The 16,690-nt window shown below is 38.0% G+C and overlaps 1 long non-coding RNA gene and 1 pseudogene across 1 annotated transcript in view; both read right to left on the minus strand.

The window, feature by feature from the left end:
- Positions 1 to 14,650, minus strand: part of LOC107986907 (uncharacterized) — a 32,533-nt gene extending 17,883 nt beyond the window's left edge. The window contains exons 1-2 of the long non-coding RNA XR_001745763.2: positions 14,371 to 14,650; positions 13,703 to 13,817 (exon numbers count right to left, since the gene is read on the minus strand). This is a non-coding gene — a long non-coding RNA (uncharacterized LOC107986907). The remainder of the gene's footprint in view (positions 1 to 13,702; positions 13,818 to 14,370) is intronic.
- On the minus strand, positions 11,249 to 11,545 carry RN7SL318P (RNA, 7SL, cytoplasmic 318, pseudogene; annotated as a pseudogene).
- Positions 14,651 to 16,690: the final 2,040 nt, after the last annotated feature.

A 16,690-nucleotide genomic window follows, 5' to 3' on the forward strand; every position in this document is an offset into this window, starting at 1 on the left:
CACCTGGACTTCTTCAGTTGGTTCCCAAAATATGCTGTCAAATGGCTGGCTCAGCGCAGCTCACCACAGCATTCCAAGAGCTGCTCAGTGCATGCTTCCTGGACCAGTAGCATTAGAAACAAATTCACCTTGAACTTTGTTAAGAATGCAGATTCTCAAGTCTCAGTCTGGACTCTCTGACACTCTTGAACTGCGTTTCAACAACTTTTTTTTTTTTTTTTTAATAAGCCCACCAGGTAATGTCGATGCACGTGTAAGTGAAAGAACCCCATTTTGCAAGGACTTCCTGTTGACCTCCTAAAAGCGTGTGTTGATTCTGGTATGGTTCAGTTCCTCTAAACGCATATTGAATGAAGTGCAGTGGCATTTCTTCATCTGGATTCTAATAAACTCAGTCACCACATTTCCTCCGAGATCAGTGACTGTATTTCAGCAACCTAATTTGCAGATTTCTAATGCCCTATCAGATAAATTAACTACATTAAGTGTGCTCTCAGGAATTCTTCACTTCCTTTGGGCTTCTCTTTTTTTTGTAACGGTGACTACTGTAAGTTTCAAAGGATGTTGGCTCAACATATATCTTGGATGCTGCTTTTCTATTTTTTATTACTTTTATTTTTTATTTTTTGAGACGTAGTTTTGTTCTAGTTGCCCAGGCTGGAGTACAATGGCGCCATCTCTGCTCGCCGCCTCCTGGGTTTAAGCGATTCTCCTGCCTCAGCATCCCGAGTAGCTGGGATTACAGGGATGCGCCACAACACCCAGCTAATTGTGTATTTTTAGTACAGACGGGTTTTCTCCACGTTGGTCACTCTGGTCTTGAACTCCCGACCTCAGGTGATCTGCCCTCCTCAGCCTCCCAAAGTGCTGGGATTACAGACATGAGCCACTGCGCCAGGCCCGGATGCTATTTTTTAATCTTGGTGAATTTTTTAGCTTTCCTTTTATGCTTGATAATCCATTCATGTTTCTGTATAATAGCAGAGCCTGCTTATTCATGTTACAACTAATCACAATTTTTATTCTGTAAGATTTCGTTTTCATCATGGACGGCAGATAAAACAAATTCACATGCTCTTCCTGCACAAAGATGTATCATCTTTAAACGTTTCCTGCCTTTCCAGTTAACATTTCATACTCTCTGCTCCTCCACCCTCAAACTATGCTGACGTCCCAAGGTTCAACCATCTCATGAGTACATGAGGTCCGGTGATGTTCACATTGAACTGTGCCAAAAATTCTTTGTAAACTAAAGAGTTTTATATAAGATGCAGAGCCATCAATAAGATTCAAGGGTTTAATGCTGGCAAAAATCCCGTTCTGATTTGAAAAAGGTATTCAGTATGATATATTTAGACATACATTAAGCCCTCTGCTCCAAAGCACAGCAATTTAAAAAATCAGAATTCAAAGGAATCTCTAATAACAAAGATGTCAGGCACTGTGGCTGATGGTGGGTGAGGTCATTTTGATCTCATATATCTATTACCCCCCAAAAAGCAACCGTTTGCCTTAGTAAAGTAACTGGTGTCCCTAATGTTATTAGTAAGTTATAGTAGATGAACATGCCCATTCACATCAGGCAGACTTGGCTTTAAAATCTGGCTCTGTTACTCCTTGCTCCTGTGTGATTTGAGGAGTACATAGCTACTTTTCTGTACACAGGTTTTGTTCTGTTTAAACTGAGGACTCCTTATTTAAAAACACTATCCAATAGTCTTCAAAGCCTGACAAATACAATGCAGCAAACTTTCCTCCTCCCTGCTTCTGTAGGAAATTGCACAGCATCTCTGTTCCAGGGGATACCTGGGTTCAGCCTTTCCTCAAGAAGGTGACCATCAAAATGTATTCCACCCGTGTCTGCTTACACCAACAATCAATGTCGTCAATGACATCAGACAGCTAGTCCCAGACAGTTTCTGCTCTCTGAATCCTCTTACTTGTTGTGTCTATTATTCTTTCCTGTCTTCTGATTAATAACAGCATTATTTATTCCTTAGTATGCTTTTAGTTGCAAGACACAAACGCCCTACTCAAAGAAACTTAAGAAAAAAAAATGTAAGGGCCTGAAGATTAAAGCCTTTCTTCTCTCTCTTTGTCTTCTTTCTTTGGTGTGGACTTAGTATGGTGTGTTTTTCTCCATATTGCCCTGAGCAGCCCCCTATGTACATTGTATCAGCTAGGAACTTGAGCAGAAAGGATCATCTTTCTTTCTTTAATGTTTTAAAATTTTTAACTTGTATGAATACATAGTAGGTGTATATATTTATGAGGTACATGAGATATTTGGATACAGGTATACAATTTGTAATAATCACATCAGGTTAAAGGGGGCATCCATCACTTCAAGCATTTAGCATTTTTTGAGTTATGAATGTTCCAATTATACCCTTTTAGTCATTTAAAAATGTACAATAAGTTATTGTTTAGTCACTGTAGTCACCTGTTATGCATTCAAACACGAGAACTTATTTATTCTGTCTAACTCTGATTGTACCCATTAGCCGTCCCCTTCATAGTTCAAGTGAAGATATAGGTGTGTCTCTTGGTTCAAGATGCCCACATAACCTATGTATGGTCAGCCTCTGTGCCCAGCTTCTGAGACAGACGCTCCCTGGGAGACCTGGAGGGATGTGATCAAACACATGCAAACTACAGGGGCTGAAAGTGAGAAAAGGTGGTTTTCAGAGGAAAATCTTCAGTGTTAACAGACAAAGAGGGAACGATGGATGAACAGGCAAAACCAACAGCTGTCCGGTGTAGTGTGACTTGTAACTTTTACCCGGGCTGATAAATAAATAATGGCTGGAGTCATTATGAGTGACAGAATTCTTGTTCTGCAGACACTATAAATCTGCATAAAATAAGCAATTCTCTGCTGAGATGATAGAAGAATCTATCTTCCCTCACTTCGCCAACACAGTGAGAATAGTGACTTCTGAATTCTTGATTTTTCTGGCTTCATCATGAAGAGTATTTACCGAAACCATCAATGAAGATGTTCAAACACAGTTGGTAAATGTGGGATAGGGAAATCAACGTAGGATGGTCCCCTTCGCCCCAGATATGATCAGTGTTTCTGCTGCGAGAAGTGTCATCTTCATTAACCTTTTAAAATAGGTTCTTCTTAATATTATGGATGACTGACATTTTAATGTTTTTTATTATTTAACTCACAAAAAAATGTGAATATAATCTCTAGAGGAGAGGGAATTGGCCAAATATTATACTAAGAGATGTAGCTAATTTATTCTGTAAGTTGGCCATGAATAATATATGGGAATAAATGACATAACTCAAATAGAAGACTTTCTTTTGGTCCGGGAAAACAGAAGGAACTTGAGTATTAATCTTCTATCTGCTGCGTCATGAACTATTTTTGATACATGAGAACAATGGAAAAATTGAGAGTTTTCTTGAGTTTACCCCCAGATCTTTTAAAAAAGACAAGTAAACTACAAAAAGCTATTTAAGAAAATATTTGTTGTCTCATTGCCAGATTAACAATTAAATGTTCCTATCTATTCATAACGTCAAAGAGAAGATGAATGGAAGCAATAGTGTTGTTGGCGGCAGCAGAATCTGTATCAACTGTGTATTAGGAGAGTAGCTGCATTTCACCAATACTCCAGCCATCCCACTTTTTTTTTTTTTTTTTTTTTTTTTGCGATGGAGTCTCACTCTGTCACTCAGGCTGGAGTACAGTGGTGCTATCTCAGCTCATGGCAACCTGCAGCTCCCCAATTCAAGAGCTTCTCCTGTCTCAACCTTTCGAGTAGGTGGGATTACAGGGGCACACCACCACACCCAGATAATTTTTATATTTTAGTAGAGACGGGGTTTCACCATGTTGGCCAGGCTGGTCTCGAAATCCTGACCTCAAGGGATCTGCCCACCTCTGCCTCCCAAAGCCCTGGGATTACAGGCCTGAGCCGCTGTTCCCAGTTCCATGCCCCATTCTTACCCTTACTCTGTGCATGCCACTGCACTTTTGGCTTCTCACAGGCCTAAGAGTCTGCTTGATTATGGTCAAGGGAGAGGGATAGGCTCTAGGAGATTAAACTGTGTGACCAGATGGCAGTAGTTTTGTCAGCAAACACAGATAAATGTTATCTAGAAAGACTGTCTTGTCTTCCCTACACACCCTAACAAAAGTCATTTTTAACTATGCTTTGTATACAAGGGTCCCTGACATGAAAAATCCAGGTTACTTAACAATAGGTTACCAAGCTTCACTTGGCTTGATCACGCCAAGGGGCAAATGTAAAAATGTGTTACAGTGATGAGGTGCTTATGTTTCATCTCCTCAGACAGCTTCTTGGACAGGCATCAAGGATGATCTCAAGCCACCCAGGACCATCAGAGAATAATTTTAATCCAGCATTTTGCAGGAATATACATTCTATTGTATTTATTTTTATTTATTTATTTTTTGAGACAGGGTCTCACTCTGTGCCCAGGCTGCAGTGGGGTGGTGAGATGTCAGTTCACTGCAACCTCTGCCTCCTGGGTTCAAGTGATTCCTCTGCCTCCACCTCCCAAGTAGCTGGGACTACAGGTGACCGTCACCATGACCAGCTAATTTTTGTATTTTTAGTATAGACGGGGATTCACCATGTTGGCCAGGCTGGTCTGGAACTCCTGACCTCAAGCAATCCACCCATCTGGGCCTGCCAGGGAATATACATTTTAAAAGATTAATGTAAAGATTAAAGGTGGAGAAGAAGACAGTATTGTGTTCTGTCTTCTTAAATTAAAATAGAAAGGTTGACTTTGGCCATTCCTTCGGCTCAGGAAGTCCATTATTCAGGAAAATCAAATGGCATAATGGCAGGGTTCTTTGGTAAAAGGAAAAGTGAAAGTAATGTTCATCTCTAGTCTACTCTAGGCTTTATAGGAAGATAATATTGACATGTTGCCGTCCAGGTATATGCAGCAAGGTGGGGCCAATGAAAGGGATTTAAGGCAGAACTTCAAGCTGGGTAAAAAGAAATTTCAGTGCCTAATAGCTTATATAACTTTACACACACACACACACACACACACACACACACACACACGTACGAGGATCTGTCAGAGAGCAATGTGCGTTCTGTACAGGGAAGGAAATTTCAGCCTGCAGCTTCAATATTAATAGTTACAAACAACTCACGTGATACTAGCACACAATATTCACAATGTGCTTCAAGTTTCCATTAAGAAAACAAGTGAAAATATGGGCTTTCCTGCTTTTATAGATGTGTCGCAGAATGAATCAACAGAGAACAGTAGCTTGAGATCACATGAAGATATTAGGTTGGAGAATGGGAATATTTCTGATATTAAAAGAGACCTTGCCAAAATTCTAAGAGACTCAGTTTTCAGTGAAAAAAAAAAAAAGCATGTGATAATAAATCTAATTGCACCCTAACGGTATTACTTGGTTATTTATAAGTAACTATAGAAAGTGAGTTATTGTATATAAATAATAAAATTAACCTTTCTGTATATTTGTATGTTGTCATATATATAATTTAAAAATACAATTCATAAAAAGAATCTGTACACTAGGAAGAATGTAAGCCATGATGTCCACTTTAAAGTTGTAAAAACATACATTTAAATATAATAAATTTAACCTATTTATAAATTAAATATAAACACAATTAAACATTTTTTTCATGGAAATACAGTTAAATAGTAATGATTTACTTCAGTCAAGGTCTTCAGAATTTTAAAACAGTTTAGAATTTTGGTGAAAATTTAGATAATTTTTCATTACATTTATAATATATAAAAAATATTAAGAGGGAAAAGGCACGGCAGTGAGGCTGGCTTCAGATCAGTGAAGGCAGGTAAGACAAAGAAGGTCTTCATCCGGCCACACCCACAAGGCAGAGCCTCAGGCATGGAGGTGCATGCATGTGACTCAGTTTTGAAGATTTTATTATAGAAATCGAAAGTGGATATCTGTAGTGTGTGTGCAAACAACATAAAACAAACAACAGTTGTAGGTCTTACAATATCTGACTTCAAGATTTCCTATAAGCTACAGTAACCAGGATAGTGTGCTGTTGGCAGAAGAAATAATAAATAGACCAGTGGAATGTGATAAAGAGCCCGAAATTGACTCACAAGTGTAATTTTTGAGAATAGTTTCAAAACAATCATACAGGAAAAGGAAATTCTTTTTAATAAATAATGCTGGAGTACCTAAACAGCCACAAGAAAGGAAGCAAACAAGGAAGGAAAGAAGAAAGTAAGGAAGGAAGGAGGGAAGGAAAGGAAAGGAAAGGGGAGGGGAGGGGAGGGAAGGAAAGGAAAGGAAAGGAAAGAGGAGGAGAGGGAAGGGAAGGGGAGGGGAGGGAAGGAAAGCAAAGGAAAGGAAAGGGGAGGGGAGGGGAGGGGAGGGAAAGGAAGGGAAGGGAAGGGAAGGGAAGGGAAGGGAAGGGAAGGGAAGGGAAGGGAAGGGAAGATGGAAGGAATGAGAAAAAGAAGGAAAGAAACTCTAACACAACCTACACATCCTAGCATCTTACAGCACTATAATAGGACTATAGCAAACCATATTATATTCTATAATTTCTGGTAGCTAGGAGGAGGATAATGAATGTTCTCAACACAAATAAATGACAAATGTTTGAGATGATGGACATGATAATTACCTAGATCAGATCACTATACATTTTATGTATGGAGGCTTCATGGGCTCCATGAATATCCACAAATAGTATTCGAGAATTTAAAAAATAAATAAAAATACAATTGCATAAAACAATGAAAAATTAACTCACGGTGGATCAAAGTCTACTGTAAAAGATAAAATTATAAAGCTTAGACATATTTATGATTTGAGGGAAGGCCAAGTTTTCTTTGAAAAATCCCAGTAACCAGCAGAAATTTTAAAAAGATACAAAATTTTAAAATAACTTTATACATATTAAAGAAAACCAGAAAATTTCTGTTCCTTGAAAGGCACTCTTTAGATAATGAATAGGCAAGTCACAGACTTGGAGAATATAATTGCAAAACAGGCATTTAACAAATAACTGGTACCGCATATATATATATATATACACACACACACACAAACCATATATATATGTACACCATATATATATGCACACCATGTACATATATATCACATATATGTGTATATATGTATATATATACCATATACATATATATACACCGTATACCTATACATACATATATGTCTCAAATACATGTGCTGTGAAAGTTTCACAAATGAAGAAACTAAAATTGAAATTGAATACCACCTTAAGACTTCATGGTTGGAAAGTGTCAAAGGCAAGGAATGAACGTGAGTCTTTTTTGTTTCTTCAGAGCTCTTTATATCAGGCCTGAGGCATGGAGGTAGATGCATGTAACTTATTTCTGAGGTGATGCCCAGAAGAAAGCATAAGAGAACAGGGAGGAAAAGATCTATTAGAAGCAATATAAATATGTACTAACAATATATATATAAACTTTCACAACACAAAATTTTAAAAACACCAACAAAAGGAATGTGTGAAACAGCTGAAATGATGCTTTCCAAATAGAAGCTGCATGACTGTCGAGTGAACACATGAAAAAGTGCTCCAATCACCAGTAATCAGTGAAATGCATATTAAACCCACAATTAAATATGCACCGTTACTATACCCAGAGGAATAAAGATTTGTAACAGAAAAAGTTTACAAGGATGTGGAGCAAAGGGAACACGAGGACACTGTTGGTGGGAGTGTACCATGGCACATGACTTTGAAAAAGGCCTGGCAATTTTTAATAAATGAAACATACAACTAACCTACCACCTAGAAATGTAACTTAGGTATTTACACAAGAAAAAGAAACTATACAATTACATACACACATACACACACACAACTTGTTCAGAAATGTCTGCAGAAACTGTATCCATAAGATCAAAACTTGGAAATTGCCAAAGTCATTGCCAACATGGGAGGAAGCACTCTGGTTATATTTATCCAATTTAGCATAAAAAAGGGATACATTGCCGATATCCGCAAGAACATTCCTGGATTGCAGTTGCTGAAGCTTGGTTTCATTTTTCATGATAATTTTTGACAGCGTGGATTTAAAATTTACAAATCTGTCAGTCTTACTTTTGGAAGTTCCTCCACATTCCTTCTGTAGATAATATTCCTTTAATTGCTTCCAGTCCTATAGCTTCATTTTCACTTTAAAAAACGCATCTGTAATATGGCGAATGTTTTAGGGAAAGGGTCTAATTTCACATTTTTTTCAAATAGTTAATTATTTTTCTCAGCATCATTATGAAGTAGCTTTTTTCCCACGTATTTGTAATGTGTTTCTATCATTTACAAAATTCCCATCCACTAAGTTTGTTGTTGGTCTGTCTTGCTCTATCCACTATCGTTTTAACTGTGGTCGTTGTAGTGTTTAGCCAACATCAGATGCACCATCTTCCATTTGTGTCAACACTGTACTCAACTTCGTGTACTTTCAGATTAATCAACAGCTACAATCATTGTATATACATATTTTTTAGTAACTGTATGTTCCTGTTACCACCTTTTAAAAGATGTCAGTTTTGTTAAAACTGCTGACAAAGAAAAGAAGACTAAAATACAGCAGCTTGATTCCAGGGAGGTTTTTAACTTACTGAAACTCAGTACTGTAGACTTGAACTTATAGCTCTTTAATCATCCAGAAGTTTAGTGGAATATAATGTAAACATTTATAAAGGAGAGAAAATTTTACGGTTGGAGAGGAGGATGCAGAGATTCTAATTTTCTAATGCCTTTGCAGAGAAAAAAAAGTTAGTTACTTTACTTTTCAGAGCTAAAAGGTATCTTAGAGTCATCTAGTTTGAAATCTTCATTTTCCTGCTAGGGGAATGGAGGTACAGGTGTGAAGTCATTTGTACAACGTCACGCCTCTTCCACGTGGCTGAGTCGGGGTGAGGGCACATGCCTTCTCACTCTCATATCAGTCTCCTTTCTACCCACCAGGCTGCTTCCAAGAAATCCATCTATTGTAATATGGTTTTGTATAGGAATCTTACATGCAAGGGCTGGGCAATTTTGATATCCTTTTAGGAGAAAGGTAAGAGAAGAAAGTCTAAGCCACCAAGGAGAGCAATTAGAATGCAAACAGGTTTGATCTGTCCAAAGAAGGCACTTTAAAGGAAGCGTGCGCTCATTAACCACATCATTTGCTAACCGGGCCGCCAGAGCCCCAGTCCCCACTGTGCCAGCCCCAAGCTCACTGCCAACCACAGCCCGTCTGATGATGAAAGCAGCTGAGCCCTGGCAACCCCGCGGCGGTCTCATTGGGGAAGATCTGGAGAGGGAAGAAAGACGCAGACACCCCATCATCGTAAAATACAGTTTGAATAATTTTGAGAAACAATTGTTCAGGAGGCGAACTTCTAAATCTCCAGGGCTGTGCCACAGAGGGGAACTTCTTTATCAAAGAAAAGTGCACGCGGAGGGGGTGGGAAATGGCAAACTCGGGGGAAAATGACAGCACTTTTTGAGATGAGGCTTCGAGAAAATCATTTCCACGAGGAGAGCTTTGCCACACAGGAAGACTCGCAGTTTCAAACTGCAAGATTTAACATGCAGTTTAAAATCTTCCGAATGTGCTTCAGGAGTTTGCAATGCTACCTGCAGAAGCACTGTTGCTTTTGGGGCAGAAAATAGTTTTCCTCCTGTCATTGTAAATAAAAACACTTTAGCTTAGCTACTAAAATCACAAATATTTTCATATACTATACATATATAATTTTACTTATATATATTATTTTTATAACCATAGCAAAAATTATGCGCTATATCAGCAATAAAACAGGCAACACATTTCTTAGCTTGTTTTTCTTATACTACGTAAAATTGTTTTTGCTTTTACATTATAACTTAATATCCACTCTGTACAGAAATTATTGTAGTCTTAATTTTACAGATGACAGAACTGAGGCCCATCAGATCTTGTTAGTCTTGGGAACATCATCCCTCCATTTGTCTTTGATTTGTTTGATCTGTTCAGTATACAATGAATCTTTTAAAAAGTCAATATCTTCACGGCTGCAGGACTAGAAATAACAATACGTCCAGCTTAAGAACTCATGCAGCTGTATGGATTTAAGGCATCCTTACTAATGACAGCCTAGTAGAGAGGAGGAGAACATTATGGGGAAAGTAACTCCCAATCTTATGTTCTCCTCAGTGTTTGGTCCCGACTTCAGGCTGACTCTGAATAATTTCTTTAATGGGTAGAAAACGAAGCAGAAATAGAAACTGAATTCACAATTCCAGGATTCCTTTACCCACTCTGTACTAAACTCCACCTAATGCCCAGAGATTCTAGATTATTGCAGGTTTTATACTAGATTATCTTCAGGTTGGAAGGCTTATAAAAATCCAAGTCCTGTAGATTGCTAAGTTTTATACTGTAGGTGAAAGAAAATGCAAAGTATGGAAGGGTTACAGTCAATATAAGACTCTAGAATTATGTAATGAGATAAATATTATATACATAATTCTATATACATATAATTGTGTATATACACACAAATACATGGATATGGTGTGTATGTGTGTGTATCTGAGTGTCATACACATATATCATGACACTCAGATCTTATAAGCATTCATCCACAGAAATGAACCCTTGGGTCCTGTTAATGACCTTTGTCTGATCCTGACAGTCACCAACCTTGCTGCTTCCCAGGGCCTGAACGCCTGCAAAACCACTCCAGTTCCATCAAAGAGAGGATACCCGTTCTTCTCACTAACTCACCCATGGTTCTAGGGTCCTAGGTTAATTGGTCAGCATCTAGAGGAACACAGTGCTCGTGATCACGCACATAAACTCCTAGGAATGTATTTCAGCCTCATTTATGGACTAAACAGATCTTTTTTATTTGACTCTGCATGATTATCTTGTGATTACTGGCATAAGGATGACTAAATGATAATCTCATAGAAATTAAAAAGAAATCAATAAACATGGGATAGAAGTTCCCTTTATTGCTTGCTTGCTTCTTTTTTTTTTTTTTTTTTTTTTTTGTCGCCCAGGCTGGAGTGCAGTGGCACAATCTCGGCTTACTGCAAGGCTACTCCCTTCCTTCTTTCTTTCTTTCCTTCTTTCTTTCTTCTTGTTCTCCTTTCTCTCTTTCTCTCTCCCTCCTTCCTTCCTTCCTTCGTCTTGTCTTTCTGTCTTTCTGTCTCTGTCTCTCCCTCTCTCTCTGTCTCTCTCTTTTTTTTTTTTTTTTTTAAGAAAAGATCTCGCAGTGTTGCCCAGGCTGGAATACAGTGGCTTTTCAGAGTCAGTGTCCTACTAATCGTCACCTCAGGAATTTGAGCTTTCTCAGTTTCCAATCTGGGCCAGTTCACATCTCCTCAGGCAACCCGGTGGTCCCCTGCTCCCAGGAAGTCACCATATTAATATTGAACTTAGTGCAGACACCCAATCAGCATAATGCTCTACAGCCCAGAACTCCTGGGCTCAAGTGATCCTGCTGCTTCAGCCTCCAGAGTAGCTGGGACTACAGGTGCATGCCTCCATGACTGGCACCATCAAGAGTTTCTTTTTTAATCCTAAAATATTCTTACAATGAACAACTAATATAGAAGTGATATGTATTAACACGATTTGTTCATATGACATGTTTCATAAAGTTGTTACAAGGTGAGTTAACAGGTTCTGTAGTTTTTATAACATCTATAAGTATGCGCATTCATTTTATTTACATAATGACCATATGACTATTATTCAGAATGTTTTACTAGTAACAATATTAAAAACTGTGTACATACTTTAACACTATGTAAAATAGAGCATGGGTACTAATTTCTATATACCTTTATTCTGTTAGATAAAAAAAGACATGTAACCACGCCTAGTATTTCACAAATGAAGAAAGTGAAGTTGAAATTGAATAACACCTTAAGACTTCAAGGTTGGCAAGTGTCAAAACCAGGGATTGAACTTGAGTCTTATTGGTTCTCTTACAGGACTCCTTATACCATACAACCTTTTCTTTCATCAGCAAAATATAACACAATTGGAGTTTTGTTATGGACCAGTGACTAAATCTCTTGTGTTGGCTTAGAGGTAAAATAAGACACAATAAAAGAATGTTATGAAGCTTCAGATGTCATTTGACGAGGATTAAAATAATCCTGTGTAATATATAATCCTTTTCAAATCATAACTCATCAACTACCAAGTAACCATATCTCATAAGCAATGAGTACCGTCCCGTATTGTGTGTGTTAATCAGTTTAGGATTCTTTTTCCAAATGGAACTCAGCTGTATTAGTCAGGGGAACACTAGCTAATATAACAAACAAAACTCACCATTAGATTGTAAAACAACAGAAGCCTATTTCTTGTCCCAGTCAAAGTACAACGCAGCATGCTGAAGATGCTGGTTACAGGTGGCTTTAATAGCCATGGTGAGCACATGTCCCAAGTTCTTTCCATTTTCAGCCTCTGCCATCCCCCTGGGCCTCACTGCCATCACATGCTACCAGCACATGCTCCCATCACATAGAAGAAGAGAGAGATGAGAGGAGAGAATAGGAGAAGAGAAGGGTTTCTCAAAATCCTTTATCCAGAAGATATAGACATTAAATTCACACTCACTTTCCATTGGTGAGAAATGGTCACACAACTACAAAGAGACACAAGCAGCTGGGAAATATAGTCCCAAATGCTTCCTGGCATTAGTCCTATTTTATAAAAGGCGAACACCCAGTTTTCTGGATTTCTGATCTTATAGGCTGTGTCAATGTTTCATTGCATTAGAACAGATCACTAATCATCTTTAAGGTTCCAAAATCCTATTCCACACAGAGAAATAAATTTATTCTGTGCTAAACCAGTGCCATGGATGGGAAGTGTGTACAACGAAAACCTTAGAGGACCAGGGTTCAAAACACATCTTTGTCTTAGAAGTTGTGCTAATGTGGAGATGGCATTCAAGTCTAACCTTCACTTCCTCCAAGTAAAGAATTATTTGACATGGGGGTAATTGCAAGGGAAGGGGCGCAGACATATGTCTGATAACAGCTCTCTTGTAGGACAGCATAAACAACATTATTTCATTCACTATCTCACATGTTCCTCAAATACTAGGAAGAGAGGCTGATGAGGAAGCGTTTTACAGGAAGGAATGTTCTATCAATATCCAGAGAAGCTGTGTCTGTGTCTGTTCTGATCCTGCCTGTGATTTTAAGGAGAAAAATTCTATGCAATCCAAGCCCTTTTTGAGAGCTATTTTGGAGGACCACGTGATGTGATCATCTTCATTAAAAACTGATTGTGCAACAGGATCATTGTTTGGCATTCTGTATGTCCTAACTTAATTTCTCTAACAGCTTTATGAAATGGGAATGTCAGTCCCATGTTATGAAAAAAAAAAAAAAAAAAAAAAACTTCAAACTCAAGAGAAAATAATAAATCTAGGATTCAAACTTCTGTCTCTCTGGTGGAAACCACTATTCTCTATCTCGCCAAAATGCTCACCTAAAAACAGTCTTCATCTGATGTAAGCTGACGCTAAAATTTGTCAGAACCAGACTTTAAAAATGACTGTGACTGCCGCTGATAGCAGCCCGGCTAAATGTCATGTGAATCTGTCCTCCTCCTGCAGCCTATGCTTACACCCATGAAGAATTTCTCCTGGTGAGAGTGGTGTACACACCAGCAAGCTGAACGAGCTTACCTCATTTGCTCACTATTCCCCTTGCACAGGATTTGTTTTTTTTTGAAGCGGTGTACTCTTATCACTCCTTAATCTTGTGAGTCTCTTCATTTATTGTACTGGGGTGGGAGGAAGCCTGCATACAAGCACAGACATATGGTTTTTATTTAATGAGCTAATGAAAAGAATGCATTTCAAGACATAGCACATATTACGGTGACTCAAATTGCTTATGCTATTTCATGTTTTTATAAGTTACCATCTAATTTGTCATTACAATTCAAAGTAACTTCATTTTCCCCTGTGGAGTACTGAAAATTACTGTAACTTATAATTTTATGGTAATTATAGTGAGAACTCCCATAATTAGTGTAGCAAGTTCACCGTTCTATTTATTTTTCCAAATGAGTCACACCCCTGGTAGGGGAAACTTGCTGTGTAGGTTTAAAGCTCCAGGTGCTATCTATAGGTGCATGGTATCTCATCATCATAACCTTTCTTCCTATTTCCCCTCTGAAATATTCTCCCCGACCAACTTGAGGAAAGATCTAAGTTTAAAATAGAATAATACTGAAAATTTAGTCTGCTTAGAACATATGCCATATTTACATGGAACGAAAAGAAGCTTACGGCACCCAAGGCCCTTGCATTTATTTGTTCTCAAGTTTTTGTGTGTAATATATACTTACTCAATAAACTGCTTCCATTCAGAGCACAAGAATTATCCGGTCGTCTACCTTCCATCCAAATGTGTGGCTGTAGTATCCACCAAAGCTCCTCAGTCATGAAATAGGACCTCTATCCTCCCGCTTACAGTTTTAATAACAGCTGTGGATTGGACTTTATTAGTGCTTCTAGTCCTCTCCAGCCCCGTGTTGATGCCTTGGTTCAGGTGCTCATTATTTCTGCTTTATTCAAAGTCTCCTTGAAAACAGGAGGACCTGCAGAGATAATCACTTCATTCTTCGTGCCCCAGACATACCTGTACATAGCTTTAGAATAACAACACCTGAGAACACGTTGGCAACAATATAGAGCAACAGGGACTTTCCTACTCTGCGAGTGTGGACCTGAATTATGACTGGCATTTTGGAGAGAAGTTTGGCAAAACTGAGAAAAAAGGAAGATGATTATATCCCACAGCCAGGATAGTCAAGGTTTTAGTTATATTATTAGGAGTAATACTCAGAAATAAAAAAGTGAATGGCACAAGAAAAGATGCATACAAAAGTTTGTTGCAATGTTGTTTATAATATCAAAAAAATAAAAATAAAAAACAATCCAGGGTCCTTCAACAGGAGAATGCATAAATAAATTGGCATTTTATACAAAGTAATTGTGAACACATGCTACAAGATGTAAATTATAAATTACTGTGTCAATGTTGGTAATCTCAGACACAAAGTATGGAACAAGGAAAAGTGAGCTGCAGAGAATAATAAAATTCAAATACTTCTAAAATAAGTAATATTTTGAATAAAGTATCCCAAACATTTACTGAGCAGTTACTATGTTCCTGGCATTGTTTCAAGTACTTTGCTCTTGGAAAGGAAAAATGTGAAATTCGTGAGGATATTTGCTTATGGTGAGGGAGTTTATGGTGAAGAGGCTAGGAAAATGGTTTTGGGAAGGGGCCTTAGCTTTACTTGTAGTGCTTATTTTCTTTCTAAAGGTATATCTGCCTGCTGGGCATGGTGGCTCACACCTGTAATCCCACCACTTTGGGAGGCCAAGGTGAATGGATCACCTGAGGTCAAGAGTTCCAGACCAGACTGACCAACAAGGTGAAACTCTATCTCTACTAAAAATACAAAAGTTAGCTGGACGTGTTGGCACGTACCTGTACTGTAATCCCAGGTACTAGGGAGGCTGAGGCAGAATTCCTTGAACCCGGGAGGCAGAGGTTGCAGCGAGCTGAGATCGCCCCATTGCACTCCAGCCTGGGTGACAGAGCAAGACAATGTTTCTAAATAAATAAATAAATGTATCTGCAACAAGAAGAGAATTTTGTCCATGCTTTCCCACTGTTATCATACTCTTCTTATGTAATATCTTTGCAGTCTCAGAATTCACACTTCTGCCACTGCTTTATGAGGAAACTTTTGAAGATTAGCCTTTTTTGGATGTTAAAAGGTGCTTCTCCCTGAGTAAAAATAACACTCACAATGAGATGCACAAATCCAAATAATCTTGAGCACAAATAAGCAGGAATTAAGAAACAAAAACAATGCGGCATTCTCATGTTTACGTGTAGTTAAACTGATTGTAAAAGCAAAAACACATAGGCAAGTAAATAAACTTGCCTGTTGGTGAATTCCTAGACCATTAATTATACATAAACAGCAAATTAAACTTTCAATCATTTTTCATAAAAAATAAGTTTCTCAACTTTTTAAATTCCTTTAAAAAATAAAATATCTAAACACCTCTTCTAACTGTAAGTGCCTTTTGAAATATAAAACAATAACATCTAATTGGGGTTTTATAATACATGTTAAATCAAAATACAGAATGATGTACTTCAGCTTCCATGAACAATCGCTGTTATGAAAATTACTTTCCTATGGTAAACAACTAGACAACTATACAGAATATTCAAAGTGGCTATTTTTATAAATAAGGCAACAGGCAAAACAGGGATGTGATTCTTCAGATAAGAGGAATCAATGAGAAAAGTCCTATGTCAGCCCCAGTTTAATATTAAGAAACAATTTCTAAACCAGAGTACATGAAAAACAAACCAAACTCAGTATGGACCATTAATTTCACAGCGTTGATGGGACATAGATTAGAGTTCACTGAGGCTGAGGTGGTTCGATTTTATGAGGCAGAACACCAGATGGGAGGCACCTGGACACAGAGAGAACATTAAAGGTCTGCAAAAGGGTCTTTTGAAATTTTTATTTGAATACCAAATTCCACAGGTTTGAGGAGAAGTTCAATGATACTAGGAAAAGAACCCTGAAAAGAAGTGTGCTGAATAATTCTCAAGTCCCACGGAAAAATGAA

Source organism: Homo sapiens, chromosome 8, assembly GCF_000001405.40.
Source record: "Homo sapiens chromosome 8, GRCh38.p14 Primary Assembly".
Lineage (NCBI taxonomy): Eukaryota > Metazoa > Chordata > Mammalia > Primates > Hominidae > Homo > Homo sapiens.